Source organism: Homo sapiens, chromosome 8 (assembly GCF_000001405.40).
Source record: "Homo sapiens chromosome 8, GRCh38.p14 Primary Assembly".
NCBI classification, from domain to species: Eukaryota; Metazoa; Chordata; class Mammalia; order Primates; family Hominidae; genus Homo; species Homo sapiens.
The window spans coordinates 25,625,556-25,644,527 of record NC_000008.11 but is presented as its reverse complement, the minus strand read 5'-3'; the positions used below and the strand labels follow the sequence as shown (position 1 = coordinate 25,644,527).

Genomic DNA, 18,972 nt, shown 5'->3' with positions numbered 1-18,972 from the left:
GGAGGGTGAAGGGAGAGCCAATGCTCATTTTATACTGAGTATCTCTCGCTGCTGCTGTCTTCCCTGTGTTTCATTACTGTTAATGAACTTAATTGTTTGGTTTCAAAACCCCAGCCTGAAGGCATCACTCTCCATCCCCCTCAGTGCTGAGATTCAGTCTTGCTGATCTCCAAATTGACTTGTAAGCAAATATTTCAAGTCTGTGACCTTCCCTGACATGCACCTGGGGGAGAAAATTCAGGCCAAGACTCCAGGACAAATTCAGATGGAGCGTCAAGAAAGACAGAGAGGGTGCATTCAGATCCCCACTTGGTACTGTGTGTAATTCAATTCCACTTAACTATATTTACGGCGTATCTACTATATGGTCCAGTAATCATGCCAGTCTTTGGGTTTAGAAAGTTGATAAAACACAGTCACTGACCTCCAGGAGGGCATGGTTTCTTACCAGCCCAGCAAACATATCACATTTCCTTGGCTCTATTATCAACAACACAACCACACCTACGGGACCTGCGAGCTAAAGCAGCTCTACTCAGGGAGAAGCTCACAGGCTTTGGAATCACAGATGTAGGTAGACTTTGAAGTTTGTCTATTTGCAAGCTATGCAGGCTTGTCCACATCATTTAACCTCATCAAGATGCAGTCATATCTACCCCTCTTGCATTACTATAATATGTGCAAAGTGCTGGTTCTGCCCCACTGTAAAGGCTAGGCTTTCTATAAGAAAATTCTGATGAATTATTGCAAATACTAAAGATATAGTTTGGATATCTTGTCCTCACCCAAATCTCATGTTGAATTGTAATCCCCAATGCTGGAGGTGGGGCCTGGTGGGAGGTGTTTGGATCATGAGGTTGGATACCTCATGAATGGCATGAGCCAGCCCCTTCATGATAAGTGAGCTCTTGCTCTGAGTTCACACAGGTTAGGGTGGTTTAAAAGTGTGTGGCACCTCCCCCGCCCAATATCCAATATTCTTTCTTTCTCTCTCTCTCTCGCTCCTGCTTGCGCCATGTCCTATGCCTGCTCTCCCTTACCTTTTGCCATGAATGGAAGCTTCCTGAGGCCTCCCAAACAGATGCTGGCACCATGCTTCCTGTACAGCTTGCAGAACTGTGAGCCAATTAAACCTTTCTTATAAAATACCCAGTCTCTGTTTTTTGTTTATATAGCAGTGCAAAAACAGTCTACTACAACTACTCACAAAGATTATAATACATCAGACTAAAATAAAAACAAATCCATTCTAGTATGTCCTTTTTTTACTCCTTCTTCTAGAAACAAAACATTGTGTCAACCTTAGCACACAAACCAGGAACAGCAACCCCCCACCTTCAACAGGAAGCCCTTGGAGGCTTCACTGCCCTCTCCATTCAAATCTGATTTTCTTCCAAGCCCATCACACACTCCACCTGCTTCAAGTCAATCTTCGACTGCACTCAGAGCCCACACCATTCATTTTTACATATGGAATGATCAAAACCAAAAATGTCAGATAGTCTCAAGAACTATAGATCTTTCTTGACCTTTTCACGTAGGTGCGTTAGTCAGGGTTCCCCAGAGAAACAAAACCACCAGGAAAATCTGTCTTATAGATACAGAAGAGGGTATGTATTATTGGAATTGGCTCACAAAATTATGGAGGTCAAGTCCCATGATCTTCCAACTGCAAGAGGAATAACCTTAAGGACCAGTGGTATAATTCAGTCTAAGTCTGAAGGCTTGAGAACTAGAGGAGCCAGCAATGTAACTCTCAGTCTAAGGCTTAAGGCTCAAGAACTGGGAGCACCAGTGTCTGAGTGCAGGATAAGACAACTGTCCAGTTCAAGGAGAGAGCGAGGAAATTCACTCTTCTGCCTTTTTGTTCTATCTGGGCCCTTAGTTGGATGACTCTCATCCACGCTGATGAAGGCAGATCCACACTACTCAGTCCACCAATTCAGATACAAATCTCTCCTGGAAACACCCTCATGGACACATCCAGAAAGCATGTTTACCAGCTGTCTGGGCATCCCCTAGACCAGTCATGTTGACATCTTGGTTTAACTGTGATTAATTTCAGATTTAAAGAAGTTAAAAGAGTTGTTCAAGTTTGCACAGCTGGTTAATGTTAGTTAGAGCTAAAGCTCAGTGCTTTTGATAGCAAGCCCAGTGATCTTTCTATTACATGAGATTGGTTATATCCAATGACATTCAGATTAGTACCTTATTTTATGCTGCATTAACATGTCCTCCAGGCTGGGTGTGGTGGCTCATGTCGATAATCCCAGCATTTTGGGAGGCCAAGGCAGGTGGATTGCTTGAGCCCAGGAGTTTGAGACCAGCCTGGGCCACACGGTAAAACCTCATCTCTACTAAAAATACCAAAATTGGCTGAGTGTGGTGGCAAATGCCTGTAGTCCCAGCTACTCAGGAGGCTAAGGTGGGAGGAACACCTAAGCCTGGGGAGGTCGAGGCTGCAGTGAGCTGTGATTGTGTCACTGCCCTCCAGCCTGGGTGACAGAGTGAGACCTTGTCTCAAAAAAAAGAAAAGTGTCCTCCAACAATTTAATGTGCTATCATAGCTTCCCTTACTGGTCTCTAGGCTTCCTCTCTTATCTTCATTTTAGTCCAGATCTGCACATCACTCTCCTGATTAAAATAGTATTAGGCTTCTGGTTTAAAATAGTATCTGAATCTAAGCCTTAATTCAATCTTTTCCAACATCCCGCTAAAATATCCTTTTTTTTTTTTTTTTTTTTTTTGAGATGGAGTCTCACTCTGTCACCAAGGCTAGAGTGCAGCAGTGCAATCTAGGCTCACTGCATCCTCCACCTCCCGGGTTTAAGCAATTCTCTGCCTCAGCCTCCCGAGTAGCTGGAATTACAGGTGCCCACCACCATGCCCAGCTAATTTTTTTTTTTTTTGTATTTTTAGTAGACACCAGGTTTCACCATCTTGGCCACGCTGATCTTGAACTTCTGACCTCGTGATCCACCTGCCTTGGCCTCCCAAAGTGCTGGGATTACAGGTGTGAGCCACCGTGCCTGGCCTAAAATATATTTTAAAAAACTTTTAAAAAGTTAAAACCCAACTCAATTAAAAGATTAAAAACCACCAGAGGAAAAGAAAATCTTCCAGACAACATAATGCCAAACCCAGAAGGAATCCCCAGAATCTACAGAAAAACAGAGTTTTGTTAAATAAAATCTGGCCAATTATTGCCTCATGAATCTCAGTCTGTGCTTCATAAAATGGAGATCATTTAAAAAGAAAGGAAGACAGGAGAGAAAGAAAACAAAGAGAAAAAGAGAGAAAAGAGAAAGGAAGATAAGTCATCCCTTCCTTACCGTTGTCTCCTGACTCAGACCCGGAAGCTGTAAGACCCAGAAACCTGGGGTGCAGGTGCCACCTTTTAGTCTCGGCAGGTACTATTCCCCTCTGTCACATGTTCTCACCCAACATTTGTTTTACAACCAATCAGATATAGCAATGCCCAGAAACATCTAAACAGGAAATGTGGGGAAACAGTAGTAACACATCACAGCCTAGGCCAAACCCCAGCAAAAAGTCTCTTTAGATAGGAGCAGAGGTAGAAATAAACAAGGTGGCTGTATCTTTTAGGAGCAGAGCAGCTATGTACTCCATCAGTCCAGAGAGTCATCTGTCCAAGCGGAGGGGAAGAACACATAACCATTAGAAAGCAGCTCTAACCCATGGTTTCAATGCTAGCAAATATCCACTAATATGCCTCAAGGTAGCTTTTGGGCAAAGCAGATAAGGATGTCATAAATGTCAGCATCCATTGATAATTCAACATACATTTTACGAAATGTGTTAGTGAAATGAATAGGAAATACATTCGTAATTCGATTTCTATGAAAAATCATCTGTGCTTACTTCAGGAAAATATATACTAAAATTTCAAAAGACACAGGCATGGATAAAATGTAACCTCTTCAGATGATCCCTACTTTTATATCTTGCTCAAGAAATGCACAGTAAGAAAAAGAAAATCTCTTTGAAAACAGCATCTAATATACCTAAAGCAAAAGCATTCTTTTAAAATCAAGAACAAAACAAAGATGTATTTAGCATTGTTGAGGAAATTTTGGTCAATGCGATAAGTCCAAAACACATTAACGAGGTGTAAATATAGAAAAGAATAGAAAATGATTCTTTGCAGATGATATTATTTGTCTAAAACATCCATGTGCATCAACTAAACAATGATTGAGTCTAATACCTTTGTCAACCTTTACTTCATTTTACAATCACCTGGAAAGCTTTTAAAAACTATCAATACCTGGGGCTCACCCCAGAAATTCTGATATAATTGTTCTTGACTGAGGCCTGGCTCCATGTCTGTTTTAAAAGCTGCCAGATGCCTTTAATATGCATCCAAGCTTGAGAACCACTAATAAAAAACACAGGAAATACACAAAATCCAATAGATTTTTCTTTATGCCACCAAGGACCAATTACAAAATATCATGCAGAGAAAATTCCACTAATAACTGTATAAAACATTCATAATAATAGAATTACCATGTGATCCAGCACTTCTACTTCTATATATATACCCCAAATAATTTAAATCAGGATCTCAAAGAGATATTTTTACACTCAAGTTTATATCAGTATTATTCATGATACCGAGTTGGCAGCCAAATAAGCATTCATGGATGAATGAATGGATAAACAAAATGTGATATACACATATGATAGAATATTACTCAATCTTTAAAAGGAAAGAAATTCTGACTCACACTACAACATGAATGAACCTTAAGGATTTTAAGTGAAATAAGCCAGTCACAAAAAGAAAAATACTTTATATAATTCCATAAAGAAAAGTACTTTATGTGAAGTACCTAGGGTAGTCAAATTCACAGAAATAGAAAGTAGAATGGCGGCTGCCAGAGGCTGGAGTAAGTGGGAATGAGGAGTTGTTCAATGAGTACAGAGTTTTCCTTTTGCAACATGAAAAGAGTCCTGAACATGGGTTATATTAAAATATGAATGAGCTGAAAATGAGCTTTACTGCTGAACTATATGCTTAAAAATAGTTAGGATGGTAAATTTTATGTTATGTCTATTTTACCACAACTTAAAGCATTTTAAAGTCATTTAAAAGAAAAAAACAAAAAAATAAGTTTTAAAACAAATGCTATATGAAGAAATATCATATGAGGAAATACTTCTTCATGAGATGGCTCAATGTCATAAAGATGCCCATTATTTTTAAATTAATTTATAAATGTGTTTCATTTCAATCAAATCTTAAACATGTTTTGTGTAGCTGAACAAAATAATTCTTCAGCTTGTTAAAAAGAATAAACATCTGCTACCAGACAAGAAAAAACAGGACTTCAAGGTGGCCTGAATTTCCCAATATTAAAATGTATTAGAAAGATACACTACTTAAAAGAATATGATAATAGCACAGGGAATGACAGACAGACCATTAAAGTGAAACAGAAAGCTCTGAAATTCACCCCATATGCATAAGAATTCGTGATAAAGGTGAACAGAGAGTAACAACGAATTACTTAATAAGATATGTTTAGACAACTGTTTAGCCATTTGGGAGAAAAGTAAAGTTAGATATCTACCTTACACCATGTACCAAAATAAATTTCACATGACCTATAACTTTCAATGTAAAAAAAAATAAGTAATTTTTTAAAACCTAGAAAAAGTACAGATGGAGATTTTTTAATCTCAAGGCAAGAAAAAACTTTCTAAGCAGTCTCTGGAAGACAAAGATAAAGCAAGGAGCTTGAAAGCTGATTCCTCAGGGCTGAGGATGGTGGAAGGCTGGGAGAGAGAGGACTCAAAGAATACACAGCTAAGAGTGAAGGGTGGGGCTTCACACATACTATGACTCCTGTAGGGACCCTGAAGGACCCTGCAGTTCACCCAGGGACCCTGAAAAGGCTGCACTGTCAGTAAAGAGTGAACTTTAAAACTCCATTTAACACCTCAGTGAAGAAAAAAGTGTCATTATCTCTGACTAGGTTTCTGGGGAGCAAAAAAGGAAATAAAAACCTACTGGAAGAAGGTGAAAACTCAAGTCTATGCCTTATGCGGGCACAAAGTACAAATTAGCACTGTTTTTTTTTGGTGTTGTTTTTTGTTTTTGTTTTTTTTGGTAAAAGAAGTCCCAAGCCAATGATTTTTTTTGAAAGAGCACATGTGGCTCTAACAAGAATACTTTTTTAATGCTCACTGTGGCTGAGCTTCCAAAAATATTATAAATCACAAGAGAAAATAATCTGTGAGCAACAGTCATAAGTTTTAAAAAGGTGGCAGTTACCAGCCGGGCGTGGTGGTGTCTCACGCCTGTAATCCCAGCACTTTGGGAGGCCGAGGCGGGAGGATCATGAAGTCAGGAGATCGAGACCATCCTGGCTAACATGGTGAAACCCCATCTCTACTAAAAATACAAAAAATTGCAGGGTGTGGTGGCGGGCACCTGTAGTTCCAGCTACTCAGGAGGCTGAGGCAGGAGAATGGAGTGAACCCGGGAGGCGGAGCTTGCAGTGAGCTGAGATCATGCCACTGCACTCCAGCCTGGGCAACAGAGCGAGACTCCCATCTCAAAAAAAAAAAAAAGTGGCAGTTACCATCTCCCAAAACGTCAGATAATATTCTTCCAACAGAAAAACATAAACTAAATATGTTTTAATTTGTCAAAATGATAAAGGATGGTATAAAAAAACATACTGAAGAAAAGCACATTCTGAAAATAGGCACATTTGAAAAAAGAGTAGAATAGAATTTAAAGAAATAAAACATATAGTCATTGGAATAAAACCTAAAAAAAATATATCCACAATGAAGAATTTGGGGATTTAAAGAAATGGAAAATATAAAAGAGTGGTTAAGAGAGAATGAGAAAGTCCAACATACATCTAATAGGAGTTCCAGGAAAAGGCAATAGAGAAAAAGAGGAGAGGCAATATTTAAAGGGAAAATGACTAAGAATTTTCTAGCATATATTAATTAATACCATATATATTTATGAAGCTCTACCATGTACCCCACACTATTTTAGGTATGAAAAAGAAAGCAATGAATGAAGACAAAAATCCCTGCTTTCACAGCATTTACTTTCTAAAAGAAAGAGATAATTTTGTGGTTGTTGTTTTTCTTCTTCTTTTTTTTAAATGGTCCACTTGCTAGAGAAAGACAAGAGAGATAGTTTTTTAAGTAAAATTTGATATATTACTAAGTGTTTGCTGCGGTAACCAGACAATCCTCACATCTCAATGATTTATAATGATAATTGTTTTTCATGTCAAATGAGGGTTGCAGGTTCCCTGTGGCTCTACTCCAGGCTGGGGGTTGACTATGGGTCTAATCTGTGAGTTCCAGGAGGCAGACTGAAGAACAAGTCCCCATCTGGGACATGCTCTTATAGCGGCAGAGGGCAAAAATGCAAGACATCAAGCCAATCATACTGTTGTACTGAAAGCTTTCGCTTAGAAGCGACCTGTGTCATGCTTGCTCACATTCTATTAATATAAACAAATCACATACCCAAAGTTGCCAATGGTATGCACTAGAGACAAGCACGGCAAGAGTGCGTATGCATAATCCTCCTACAGAGAAGGGAATAAGTAATCGTGAATGAAAAATAAAACCTACCATAATATAGTCAGTGGTGGTAATTGCTATGGAGAAAACCAAAGCAGGGAATGGGGTAGGAATTATTAGGGAGCATGCCATTTTAAATAGGCAGGCTAGGGCAGGCACAAAGTAATCTGTGATTAAGACCTGAAGGATATCATGCGGAAATAAATCTTGGAGAAGAATGTTTTGAGAAGATGAACAACAAATGTAAAAGCTCCAAGTCAAGGGCCGGCCTGATGGGTTTGAGGAGCAGCAAGGAGGCCCTTGTGGCTGTCAGGAGGTGAGAGAGGGAGTATGGCAGGGAAACAGACCAGGCAGACCTCAGAGGCCAGACTGTGGCTCTGCGAGGCCACTGTGGGGCTTAGTTTCACCAGGGGTGAGATGAAAAACCGTGTGAGGGTTTTGAGCAAAGGAATGACATAATCTAATTTATATTTTAACTCAGAGATATGCAGAGAATGAGCTGAAGGCAGACCAGAAAGACCGGTAGGGGGCCTTCATGATAAACAGATGAGAGACTATAAACAGGAGGCTCCACCACATAGTGAAAGTGGTTAGAATCTGGATGTATTTTGAACATGATTTGCTGAAATGGAATGTGGGGTACAAATGAGAAAAGAATCTGCCATGATGCTTGGGTTTGGGGGCAAGTATTGCAAAGATGGTGTTCCCACTGACTATGATGAGACTGTGGCACGAGCAGGTAGGCAGAACTCAAAAGCTCTGTTTGGGTCATGTCAAGTTTGAGGTGCATAGAAGACATTCATGTGGAGATATCCAGTGAACAGTTGAATAAATTCATCTGGAATTCAGCGGAGGGGTTTGAACCACCACCTTGCGTAGTGAGGTAGGAGGATCACTTGAGCTGGGGAGGCAGAGGTTGCAGTGAGCCAAGACTGTACCACTGCACTCCAGCCTGGGCAACAAAGGGAGACACTGTCTTAAGAAAAAAAAGAAAAAAGCAGCCAACTAAACCAAGAAGGAAAAAGTGAGAAGCAAAAGCACTGGTGAGCAAAGACACCCAGGAAGTATTAACATCACATATGTATGAAGTGTAATGTCATTAAGAATGCTGGGGGCCTCAAAAAGAGGATAGAAGTAAAATACTAGGCCTCAATACCATGAAAGAGGTCAGGATGATCAGAATTAAAGTGGTATATGAGTCCTGATCATTCTGAAGTTTATTTTAAAAACCTAAGTTGTCCTTAAGTAACATATGCATGTTACTAATTCGAGGCTAGAACAATTGGACATCCACATGGCAAAAAATGAATTTTGACCCTGCCTTATACCATACACAAAAATTAATTCAAATGGACAACAGATATAAATGTTATGAGCTGAATCTACTAAACTCTTAGAAGAAAACGTAGGAGTAAATTTAGTGAACTTGGGTTAGACATGACACCAAAAGCACAAGTGACAAAGGAAAAAAAAAAATAGAGAAATTGGACTTCACCAAAATTGAAAACTTCAGTGCTATAAATGATACCATCAAGAAAGCAAAACACAACATATAGAAGGGGAAAAAACATTTACAAATCATATATCTGATATGCAACCTGTATCCCAAAGCTATAAAGAACTATTACAACCCCGTAATAAAAAGATAAATAACCCAACTTACAAATAGTCGAAGAACCTGAGTAGACCTTTCTCCAAGGAAGATATAGGAATGACCAACCAGCACATGAAGGGCGGGGGCAGTGGCTCATGTCTGTGGTCCCAGCACTTTGGGAGGTTGAGGCAGGCGGATCACGAGGTCAGGAGATTGAGACCATCCTGGCCAACATGGTGAAACCCCATCTTTACTAAAATACAAAAAATTAGCCGGACGTGGTGGTACACGCCTGTAGTCCCAGCTACTCAGGAGGCTGAGGCAGGGTAATCGTTTGAACCGGGTAGGCAGAGGTTGCAGTGAGCCAAGATAGCGCCACTGCACTCCAGCCTGGCAACAGAGCAAGACTCTGTCTCATTAAAAAAAAAAAAAAAAGGCACATGAAAAGATGCTCAACATCATTAGTCATTAGGGAAATGTAAAGTCAAACCACAATAAATACCACTTCACATCTACAAGGATCATTCTTAAAAAAAAAAAAAAAAAAAGACTATTACAGTGTTAGTGAGGATGTGGAGAAACAGGAACTTCATACATTCCTGGTGGGAATGTAAAATGGGGCAGCCACTTTGGAAAGCAGTTTTGCAGTTCCTTTAAAAGCTAACTATTGATTTATCACATTATCTACCAATTTCATTTCTCTGTATCTATCCAGAGAACTTGAAAACATATGTCCACATAAAAACTCATACATGACTGTTCTTTATATCATCACTCATAATGTCAAAAAGTGGAAACACCCAAATGTTCATCAGCTGATGAATGGATATGACTTATGCATATAATTATTATTTGGCCATAAAAAGTAATGAAGTATGGATCCATGGTACGACATCAATGAATCTTGAAAACATTACATTAAGTGAAAGAAGCCAGTCACAACACTTACTGAATGATTCCATTTATGTGAAATGTCTAGAATAGACAAATCCACAGAGACAGAAAATAGATTAGTGGTTTCCAAGGGCAGAGGGGAAGGGAGAATGGGGAGTGACTGATAATGGCTCTGAGGTTTCTTTTGGGGATGATAAAAATATTAACATAAATTGTGGTGATGGTTGCCGCACCCTGTGAATACATTAAAATCCATTGACTTGTACACATCACATGGGTGAACTGTATAGTATGAAAATTATATCCCAATAAAGCTGTTTAAAATATTTTAAGGATAACTCCTAAAAGAGTAGAAATAAATTATCTGTATAACTTCTAAACCAATAGAGGTGAAGGAGGGACTAACAAAAGCTGTTCAGTCCAAGGAATGGTAGGAGAGAGAGGCGGGAGAAGCAAAGGAAAAGCAAAGCAAATAAAACATTTTAGAAGAAAGTAAAAATCAATGTTTAAAGAAAATTACAGCCGGGCACGGTAGCTCACGCCTATAATCCCGGCACTTTGGGAGGCTGACGTGGGCAGATCACTTGAGGTCCGGAGTTCGAGACCAGCCTAGCCAACATGGCAAAACCCCATCTCTACTAAAAATACAAAAATTAGCTGGGCATGGTGTGGGCGCCTGTAATCCCAGCTACGCAGGAGGCTGAGGCATGAGAATCACTTGAACCTAGGAGGCAGAGGTTGCAGTGAGCCGAGATCACACCACTGCACTCCAGCCTGGTGACAGAGCAAGAGACTCTGTCTCAGAAAAAAGAAAATTACAATAACTATGCTCAGTATGATAGCTATTTTAAGAAGTACATTATTATATATTGTTGGAGACATCTGTGAGTGGTAAAAGTATGAAAATATCCACTTAAAAACCCTTGGGGGCCAATCCCCGGTAGTATAGTGATTAGGAAAAACATATATATTGGGGGCCAGGCACAGTGGCACACTCCTATAATCCCAGCACTTTGGGAGGCCAAAGCTGGAGGATTGTTTGAGCCCAGGAGTTCAAGACCAGCCTGGGCAACATCGTGAGACCCTTTCTCTACAAAAGGAAGGAAAGAAAAGGAAAAAATGTTGGGTATTGGGGGAGGGAAGGAGATGAATGAGATGGGAAGGAAAGAGTGGGCTTCTGCTGTCCCTATCACACACACTTTATTTCTTTATTAAGATATGAAAAACACTATGGCAAATTGTCATATATATTAAATATAGGTAAATAAGCTCATAGGCATCTATTTTCTGTATCAATTTATATTTAAAATATTTCTTAATTAAAAGGCAATACAAATAGCATTGGCAAGAGTTCAGGGAAATGGTACTCCACCTCTGTTGGTAATAAGCCTGTATAAATTTGGAGAGGGAATTTTGACAATATGTACCCAAAGGTTTTTAAAGTGTTCACATACTTTGATGACGCAATAACGTTTCTAAAATTTAAAAAGAAAACACGTGCACAAAGATTTAACTACATAAATGTTTGCTATAGTTCCACACATATAGAAGCAAATATATACACATAGAAACGAAAATAGAATGTCTATTATTTGGACATCAGTAAAATATTCAGAAGTATTGCACAGTTAACATAAATCATTAATTAGGGATAGAAAAGGTCTTAGGCCTCTAAGAATCTGATAAGTTATGTGTCCCCTCCGGAGAAAGGCAGATGTACATAACGTAACATAACACAACATAACATAACATAACACACCAATTTGCAGACAATTTCAGTGGGTCCCAGAGTACTTAAATCTCACACCTTTTATTGTGGAAGGAAAACCAGCTAACTCACTCCTAATTCTCCTTCAGGAACCCCATCCTCTAGGCAGATTTTCCATACCCTGCCTTCTCCATCTTCCTCAGCCTGGGACAGGTACCCCTTCCTTAAGAACCTATGCAAATCTGTACCCTGAACGGCATATATCTTGTATCATGATTTTCTATTTATTTTCTGTCTTCATCAGTGTCTTTGAGAACCAGGTACACAACTCAATTGGCTTCACGTCCCAGGACAGCACAGATATAAATATTTGTTGGCCAGATTGAGGCAGGAGGTAGGACTTGACTCCAGAGGCAGAGCTCGGACACCTGACCAAATTGAGGATTAGCTAAAACAGGGATAAGGTGGAAGTGGTTTTCCATAAGACACACCTACCAGTGTGCCATGTGAGTTTACCATTGTCATGGCAACATCTGAGAGTTACTGCCCCTTTCCATGGCAATGACTTGACATCTAAAAGTTATTACCCCTTCCCTAAAAATTTCTGCATGTACTGCCCCTTAATCTGCATGTAACTAAAAGTAGGTATAAATATAACTGCAAAACTACCCTGAGCTGCTACCGTCAACACACTGCCAACGGGGCAGCCCTGCTGTGCAGGAAACAGTCATGGACTTGTAACGCTGCCACTTGAATAAAACTGTTTTCTTCTACCCTACCACTAGCTCACCCTTAAATTCTTTCCTGGGTGAAGCCAAGAAACCTCGTGGGCTAAGCCCCACTTTGGGGCTCACCTGCCCTGCATCAAGATGATCAAATGAATGTTCCTTAAGGAGAGCGACACGGCCATGTATTGCTTCTAGATAATGCTTCACATAGGGAAACATTTCTCATCTATTTCTTGATCCACAATCAGTATCAACCACCTCTCTAACCAGGTCATACACACACCCCAGCCTCTGCAGCTTGTCTTTTGAAACACACTGGATTCTAAATGCAGCCTTATCTGAAAGAATGAGACGTAACATTGGCTGCATATAAATTGCAAAGAGGAGCCAGAAAAGCAGGGCTGCAGCTTCCTGCACGGCTCAGCTGCCGCTCAGCTCGCACCCAGACTCAGCAGTAACTTAGTCAAATTAGCAGCAGCTTGTTTTCATTCCAGAGGACAAGCTTTCCAATCCTTTCTGAAGTTATTTCCCTTCCTCTCCCTTCCCGTTATTCCCTATTTTCATCAAGCAGAGCCCTTGAATGCGTTTCCCCGCCAGCTATTCAAGAGGCCGTTCCCCCTGGAGCTGGCGACACAGAACTTATTAACAAGCAAACAGAATGAACTGGCTCGCTCTCCTCATAGTGAAATTCCTCTGCCACCGATTTCTCAGACACTTCCCTTTAGGGTTTTCCTGCGGAGTCCCATTCATTTAGAGGAAATGTGGAAAACTGTTTAATGTTTCTTGTTGTAAGCAAATGCTGGTAAATGCCGATTACATGTGGAGAGTGAAATGCCTCTCTCTGACTTGGCTTCCAAGCCCATCTGGTGGGCCTGGCAAAGCGTGTTTGTCGCTCCCCACACATGCAACTGTCATCATCATCGTGTGGGGAACAGCGAGGACTTTAAGATGGAAACCTTTAGCTCTGTTAGCATGCCTAGCCTTTATTTTGCACGTCAGTGAAGTCACTTTCCCATTCCTTGCCTTGGTTTCCCCAAATGTAAGGTGGTGACAAGTATCTTGGTTTTTTTACCTATATGATTCAACACGAGTCAATGGAACACACTTTTTTGCATCTATTTTGGGCTGCAAAACATTGTGCAGACTACAGAGTAAGCACGGAAGAATTCCTATCATTATAGATTCCAAAGAGAGACTGGGAAATAACAGTGGTAGAAAACTCTGAGCTTGAAATGATGAGATAAGAGAAGTATAAAATACTTGGGTCTGCTGTCCCCATGTAGGGGAGAGACAAGTTAATTACTCAGAGGAGAAAAGGGTAAGTCTATCCCATCCTGGGTTTTGTTTTTATTTTTTAATAAAAATACCAAAAGGATCTTATGTTTACACTTCCTTCTCTAATATACTTCAGAGAATAGGGCTTTAGAGAGCCTTCGTCCTGAGAAGGGGCTATTATTCCGAGGGTAAAAGAAAAATGGGAAAGGACCCTTTCCCAAGCCTCTCCTTTCAGTAAACGAAGCAAAGAGAGTCATATAACCAAGTATTTTTGACATCTTAACAGGCATGAAAACACAATGAGAGAGCCACCCAGCTGAATCCTTTCAGTCTATGGATGCACAAATTGAAGCCCAGAGAGTTGGAATGACTTACCCAGGGTCACACAGCTGATGGGGGCGCCAAGGCAAGGGTGAGATCACGAGTTTCTTATTCCAAAGCTCCTTCCACTGTAGGAATTCTCAGCATCTAGGACCGTAATCCAAACATTAACACCAACACCCCGTTCTCACACCAGTCTTCTTACTCCACTAAATGTCCCATCTGTGGCAGTCAAACAAGGCCTTCTTCCTGTATTACAAAGACAATTTGCTCATTCCTGCCCATGTGGTTTCCCCTGCTGGCAGGGCTGCTCTCTATGACCACACAGGTTGTGCACTGCACAACTCTAAAGACACATACACACAAACACACCTCATTCACACTGTACCAGCCCAAGATGAACCATGTACCATTCCATGTACCAGCCCAAGATGTTCTTCTCATCTTCATCTTACTCAAGATATTTTTCAAGTCACATTTTCACAAAGCCTTCCTTGAGTGGCTTAGACCACACTGGTTTCTCCTGTCTCTAAGTTCCCAAGATTCTTATTCTTTACCACTTATAAGCTGTGAATCCTTCAGCAAGGCAATGATTCTGAGTCTCTGTTTTCCACTAAGTAAAATCTGTAATGTGCTTTTTCGAGATGTTGAAAAGATGAAACATACCTGGGTACACGGAGGAACTCTATGAAGTACCACGTGCTCTGTGATGCTTGTTCTTATCACTCCAGCTCATCAATACTGCTTTATGATGTTTGCTAATAGTTTCTTACTCTTAGCCTAGTTTTCACCAAAAAGAAGTTTGTTTCTGGAGAGCAGGCAGACACCTCTGCTAATACCACGTCCCTCGTAACAGGTGATCAAAATAATGATAACGGCTCACGCGCCACCAGGTGGTCTTCTGAGTCCTTTATCATGCCTACTCATTTCACCTTTATAACAAATTATAATGCAGTACCAATAGTACATTGGTTTTAGATGAGGCAATTGAACACAGAGGAAAATAATTTACTCAAGAGGCAAAAAGCTTATATATGCTGGAGCCAGGATTCACGCTGAGACAACCTGGCCCCAAAGTCTGTACTCCTACCATCCCGCCACCCCACTCCTCTTTTGTATATATACAGTGGGGCAGAGAGTGGGAGCTCCACGTATTTTTGATAATCGATTATTTGATCTTTGGGGTTACACTTCCTTTAGACAGGGTTAGGCCTTAGAAAGGAAAACTTGTTTTGTTTTTTTTTGGAGAGACAAGGAGACAAGGTCTTACTCTGCCACACAGACTGAAGTGCAGTGGTGCAATCACAGCTCCCTGCAGCCTCTAACTCCGAGGCTCAAGCAATCTCCCCATCTCAGCCTCCCGAGTGGTTGGGATTACAGGCATAGGCTACCACACCCAGCTAATTTTTAAATTTTTTGTAGAGACGAGGTCTCGCCATGTTGCCCAGGCTGGTCTTGAAGTCTTAACCTCAAGCAATCCTGCTTTGACCTCCCAAAGAGCCGAAATTACAAGGCATGAGCCACCATGCCTAGCCAGACAGAAAAACTTAAGTCTGTGTTTTACCAATTGGTAAATGATCTGCGGACATATTCAACTCAGGCTAGCTCCCTAGCCTACCTTCTCAAACCACAGCTTACTGGAGCCTCAACTGGTTTGCAACAAAGAAAGGCATAAAAATTTTTTCAGTTTTAAAAATTGTAGTGAAATACGCACAATTTAAAATTTATCAATTTAATATTTTTACGGATACAATTCGTTAAGTACATTCACATTGATGTACAACCATTACCACTATCCTTTTTAGAGCTTGTTTTATTTATCACCCCAAACAGAAACTTTGGACCCATTTAACTGTAATTCTCCTCTCCATCCTCCTTCCAGCCCCTAGAAACCTCTGTTCTTTCCATCTCTATGAATTTGCCTGTTCTAGGTACCTCATGTAAGGGGAATTATTCAATATATGTCCTTTATGTCTGGTTTATTTCACTTAGCACGATGTTTTGAGGTCTATCCATGTTGTAGCATGTACCAGTATGTTTCTTTCTTTTTTTTTTTTTTTATTGAGACAGAGTCTCGCTCTGTCTCCCAGGCTGGAGTGCAGTGGTGCAATCTCGGCTCACTGCAACCTCCACCTCCCAGGTTCAAGCCATTCTCCTACCTCAGCCTCCTGAGTAGCTGTGACTACAGGTGCGCACCACTATGCCCAGCTAATTTTTCTATTTTTTTCGTAGAGATGGGGGTTTCACCATGTTGGCCAGGCTGGCCTCGAACTCCTTAACTCGTGATCCACCCGCCTTGGCCTCCCAAAGTGCTGGGATTACAGGCATGAGCCACTGTGCCCAGCCATCTTTCCTTTTTAACACTGAATAATATTCCATATATACACCATGTTTTGTTCATCTGTTGATGGATATTGGGTTATTTCCACATTTTGACTACTGTGGATAATGCTATGACAACTGGTGTACAAGAAGAAAAAGAAATGTTAATACCAGCCCATAATAAGCAGAACTGGACACAGATAAATCAACATCCAAACAACAATCCCATGATGTTTCTCAAAGGCAAACTTGGTGGCCACTCAGGACAGTAGAGAGGGCTTTCGGGGGTCGGATCAGGACCCTCCTCTAATCAGCTTTGTGATCTTTGGGATTGAGTTTCTTGACCTGTAAAATAAGGGAATAAGAGTAGACGACTTGTGAGGTTCTTTCTAGCACAAATGTTCCAGGATTCTATATCTCAAATCAGTTTCCTTAGTGCCTGCAGGTGAATGTGTTCTGTTCACTCACTTTCCTGGAGTTTTAGCATTTGTATGCATGAGCAGGTGGCTTTCTGGGTCTGTTTTTCTTGGATGCAGAATGGCTTCTCAAACAGGCTACCATTTCCCCAGATCTTCAAAAAAACTAGGCCGGGCGCAGTGGCTCATACCTGTAATCCCAGCACTTTGGGAGGCCGAGGAGGGTGGATCACAAGGTCAGGAGATCGAGACCATCCTGGCTAACATAGTGAAACCCCGTCTCTACTAAAAATACAAAAAAATTAGCCAGGCATGGTGGCACATGCCTGTAGTCCCAGCTCCTCGGGAGGCTGAGGCAGGAGAATGGCGTGAACCCAGAAGGCAGAGCTTGCAGTGAGCTGACATTGTGCCACTGCACTCCAGCCTGGGCGACTGAGCGAGACTCCATCTCAAAAAAAAAAAAAAAAACCAAAAAAACAAAAACAAAACAAAACTAGAGTAGAGATACTAAACCATTACCTCTTTGCCACCTGTATTACTTCCTTCGTTTCCACACACATTCAGCTAGCAAGGCCGACTGCACTGGCTCCCTCCTGGGAGACCCTCATTTCTCACAGAAACCAAGCCACTCCCATCTCTGGGCCTCTGTTTTCTCATTTTGCTCATTTGCAACCTGAGAATGCTGGGCCACTTGTGTTCCTTAAGCTCCAGCCTCTGTGATTCCAAGGAGAGAACTAGGGAAAGGAGGCTTTTGTTTGAAAGAAAGAGGAAGCCTAAGACCCAGGGCAAGGAACCTGGAAACCAGCTGCCGGTGGGGTAAGTGGATAGGACGGGTGGAGATTGGGACATCCTGTGCTCTTGTAACAACCCAATGAATACATCAGCATCACAAAGAAAAAATTAATTTGTAGTTTTCGTAAATATAAGGGAAATGAAACTATATAATTGCAAAATAAAAGTCATGGCTCTATTCCACAACAGTATGAAACTACACATTTGATCAAGAAAACAAAACAAGACTAAAATACCATGGCGTTAAGAAAAACAAACAAATAAAAACAGTCCCAACTTCTGAGCCCCCTCAGCCATTTTTTTCACACTGCCTTTGTTTTCTTACCCACAGTTTCCGCCTAGCTGAGCTCCTGACTCGTGGATAATGGGGTCCCTTTAGCTAATGTGTAACACACAAACTTACCCACAGTTCAGCCTTCAAGACTTTATTCAGTAGGGTAAAGCCGATTCAGGATGGAACATTGAGAAAAATCTTACCTTTTAGATTGCAAGTACAACACAGAGTTTCCCTGTCCTTTTCTTTATCTACCTCTGGGTATTTTATCTGGTTTACTTTCTGGCTGAATTGTTATCCCGAAGCAAATTTCTCACTTGAGCCCATGTGGACTTACCGTGTTTCACATTTGGCTTTGTAGCTTAGGAGTGTGTGTGTGTGTGTGTGTGTGTGTGTGTGTGTATTTTACCTCCCATGACTTGATGCTTCTCTTGGTTCTCCCTATACCAAAGGTGTGTATATACACATATACACACACACACATTATATACACACACACACATATATATATATGAAAACTCTTGAAATACAAGAAAACTCAAGGCTTTTTTTCTTATGTTGGCAAAAACAAAGTGTCTCCCTGTTACCTTCCCACCTCTTCCCCCAATCCATTATTGCCACATACGTGCTAATTTCTTATCCTGATGAACTCATTTTGCCCAAATTTCAACCTCATCATTTATGTATGGACTGACATCTATGACATCTCCCCTGAAAATATGGCTGTGGTATGTTTTGGCAATAAGAATAGAGAAGTGATAGATTTTTTTTTCTGATTATTTTTCAGGAATCATCCATTAAGCAATATCTGGAATTCTTTGCAATGCCAGTTATCAATAATGACCTTTGCTGGCTGGACACAGTGGTTCATGCCTGTAATCCCAGTACTTTGGGAGGCTGAGGCAGGTAGATCGCTTGAGCTCAGGGGTTTAAGACCAGCCTAGGCAACATGGCAAAACCCTGTCTGTACAAAAAATTCAAAACACTAGCCAAGCATGATGGCGTATGCCTGTAGTCCCAGCTACTCTGGAGGCTGAAGTAGGAGGAAGACTTGACCCCAGGAG

The 18,972-nt window shown here is 40.9% G+C and overlaps 1 long non-coding RNA gene across 1 annotated transcript in view; it reads right to left on the bottom strand.

The window, feature by feature from the left end:
* LOC107986933 (uncharacterized) overlaps nucleotides 1–14,396 on the bottom strand; it is a 207,238-nt gene extending 192,842 nt beyond the window's left edge. The window contains exon 1 of the long non-coding RNA XR_001745849.2: nucleotides 14,159–14,396. This is a non-coding gene — a long non-coding RNA (uncharacterized LOC107986933). The remainder of the gene's footprint in view (nucleotides 1–14,158) is intronic.
* Nucleotides 14,397–18,972: the final 4,576 nt, after the last annotated feature.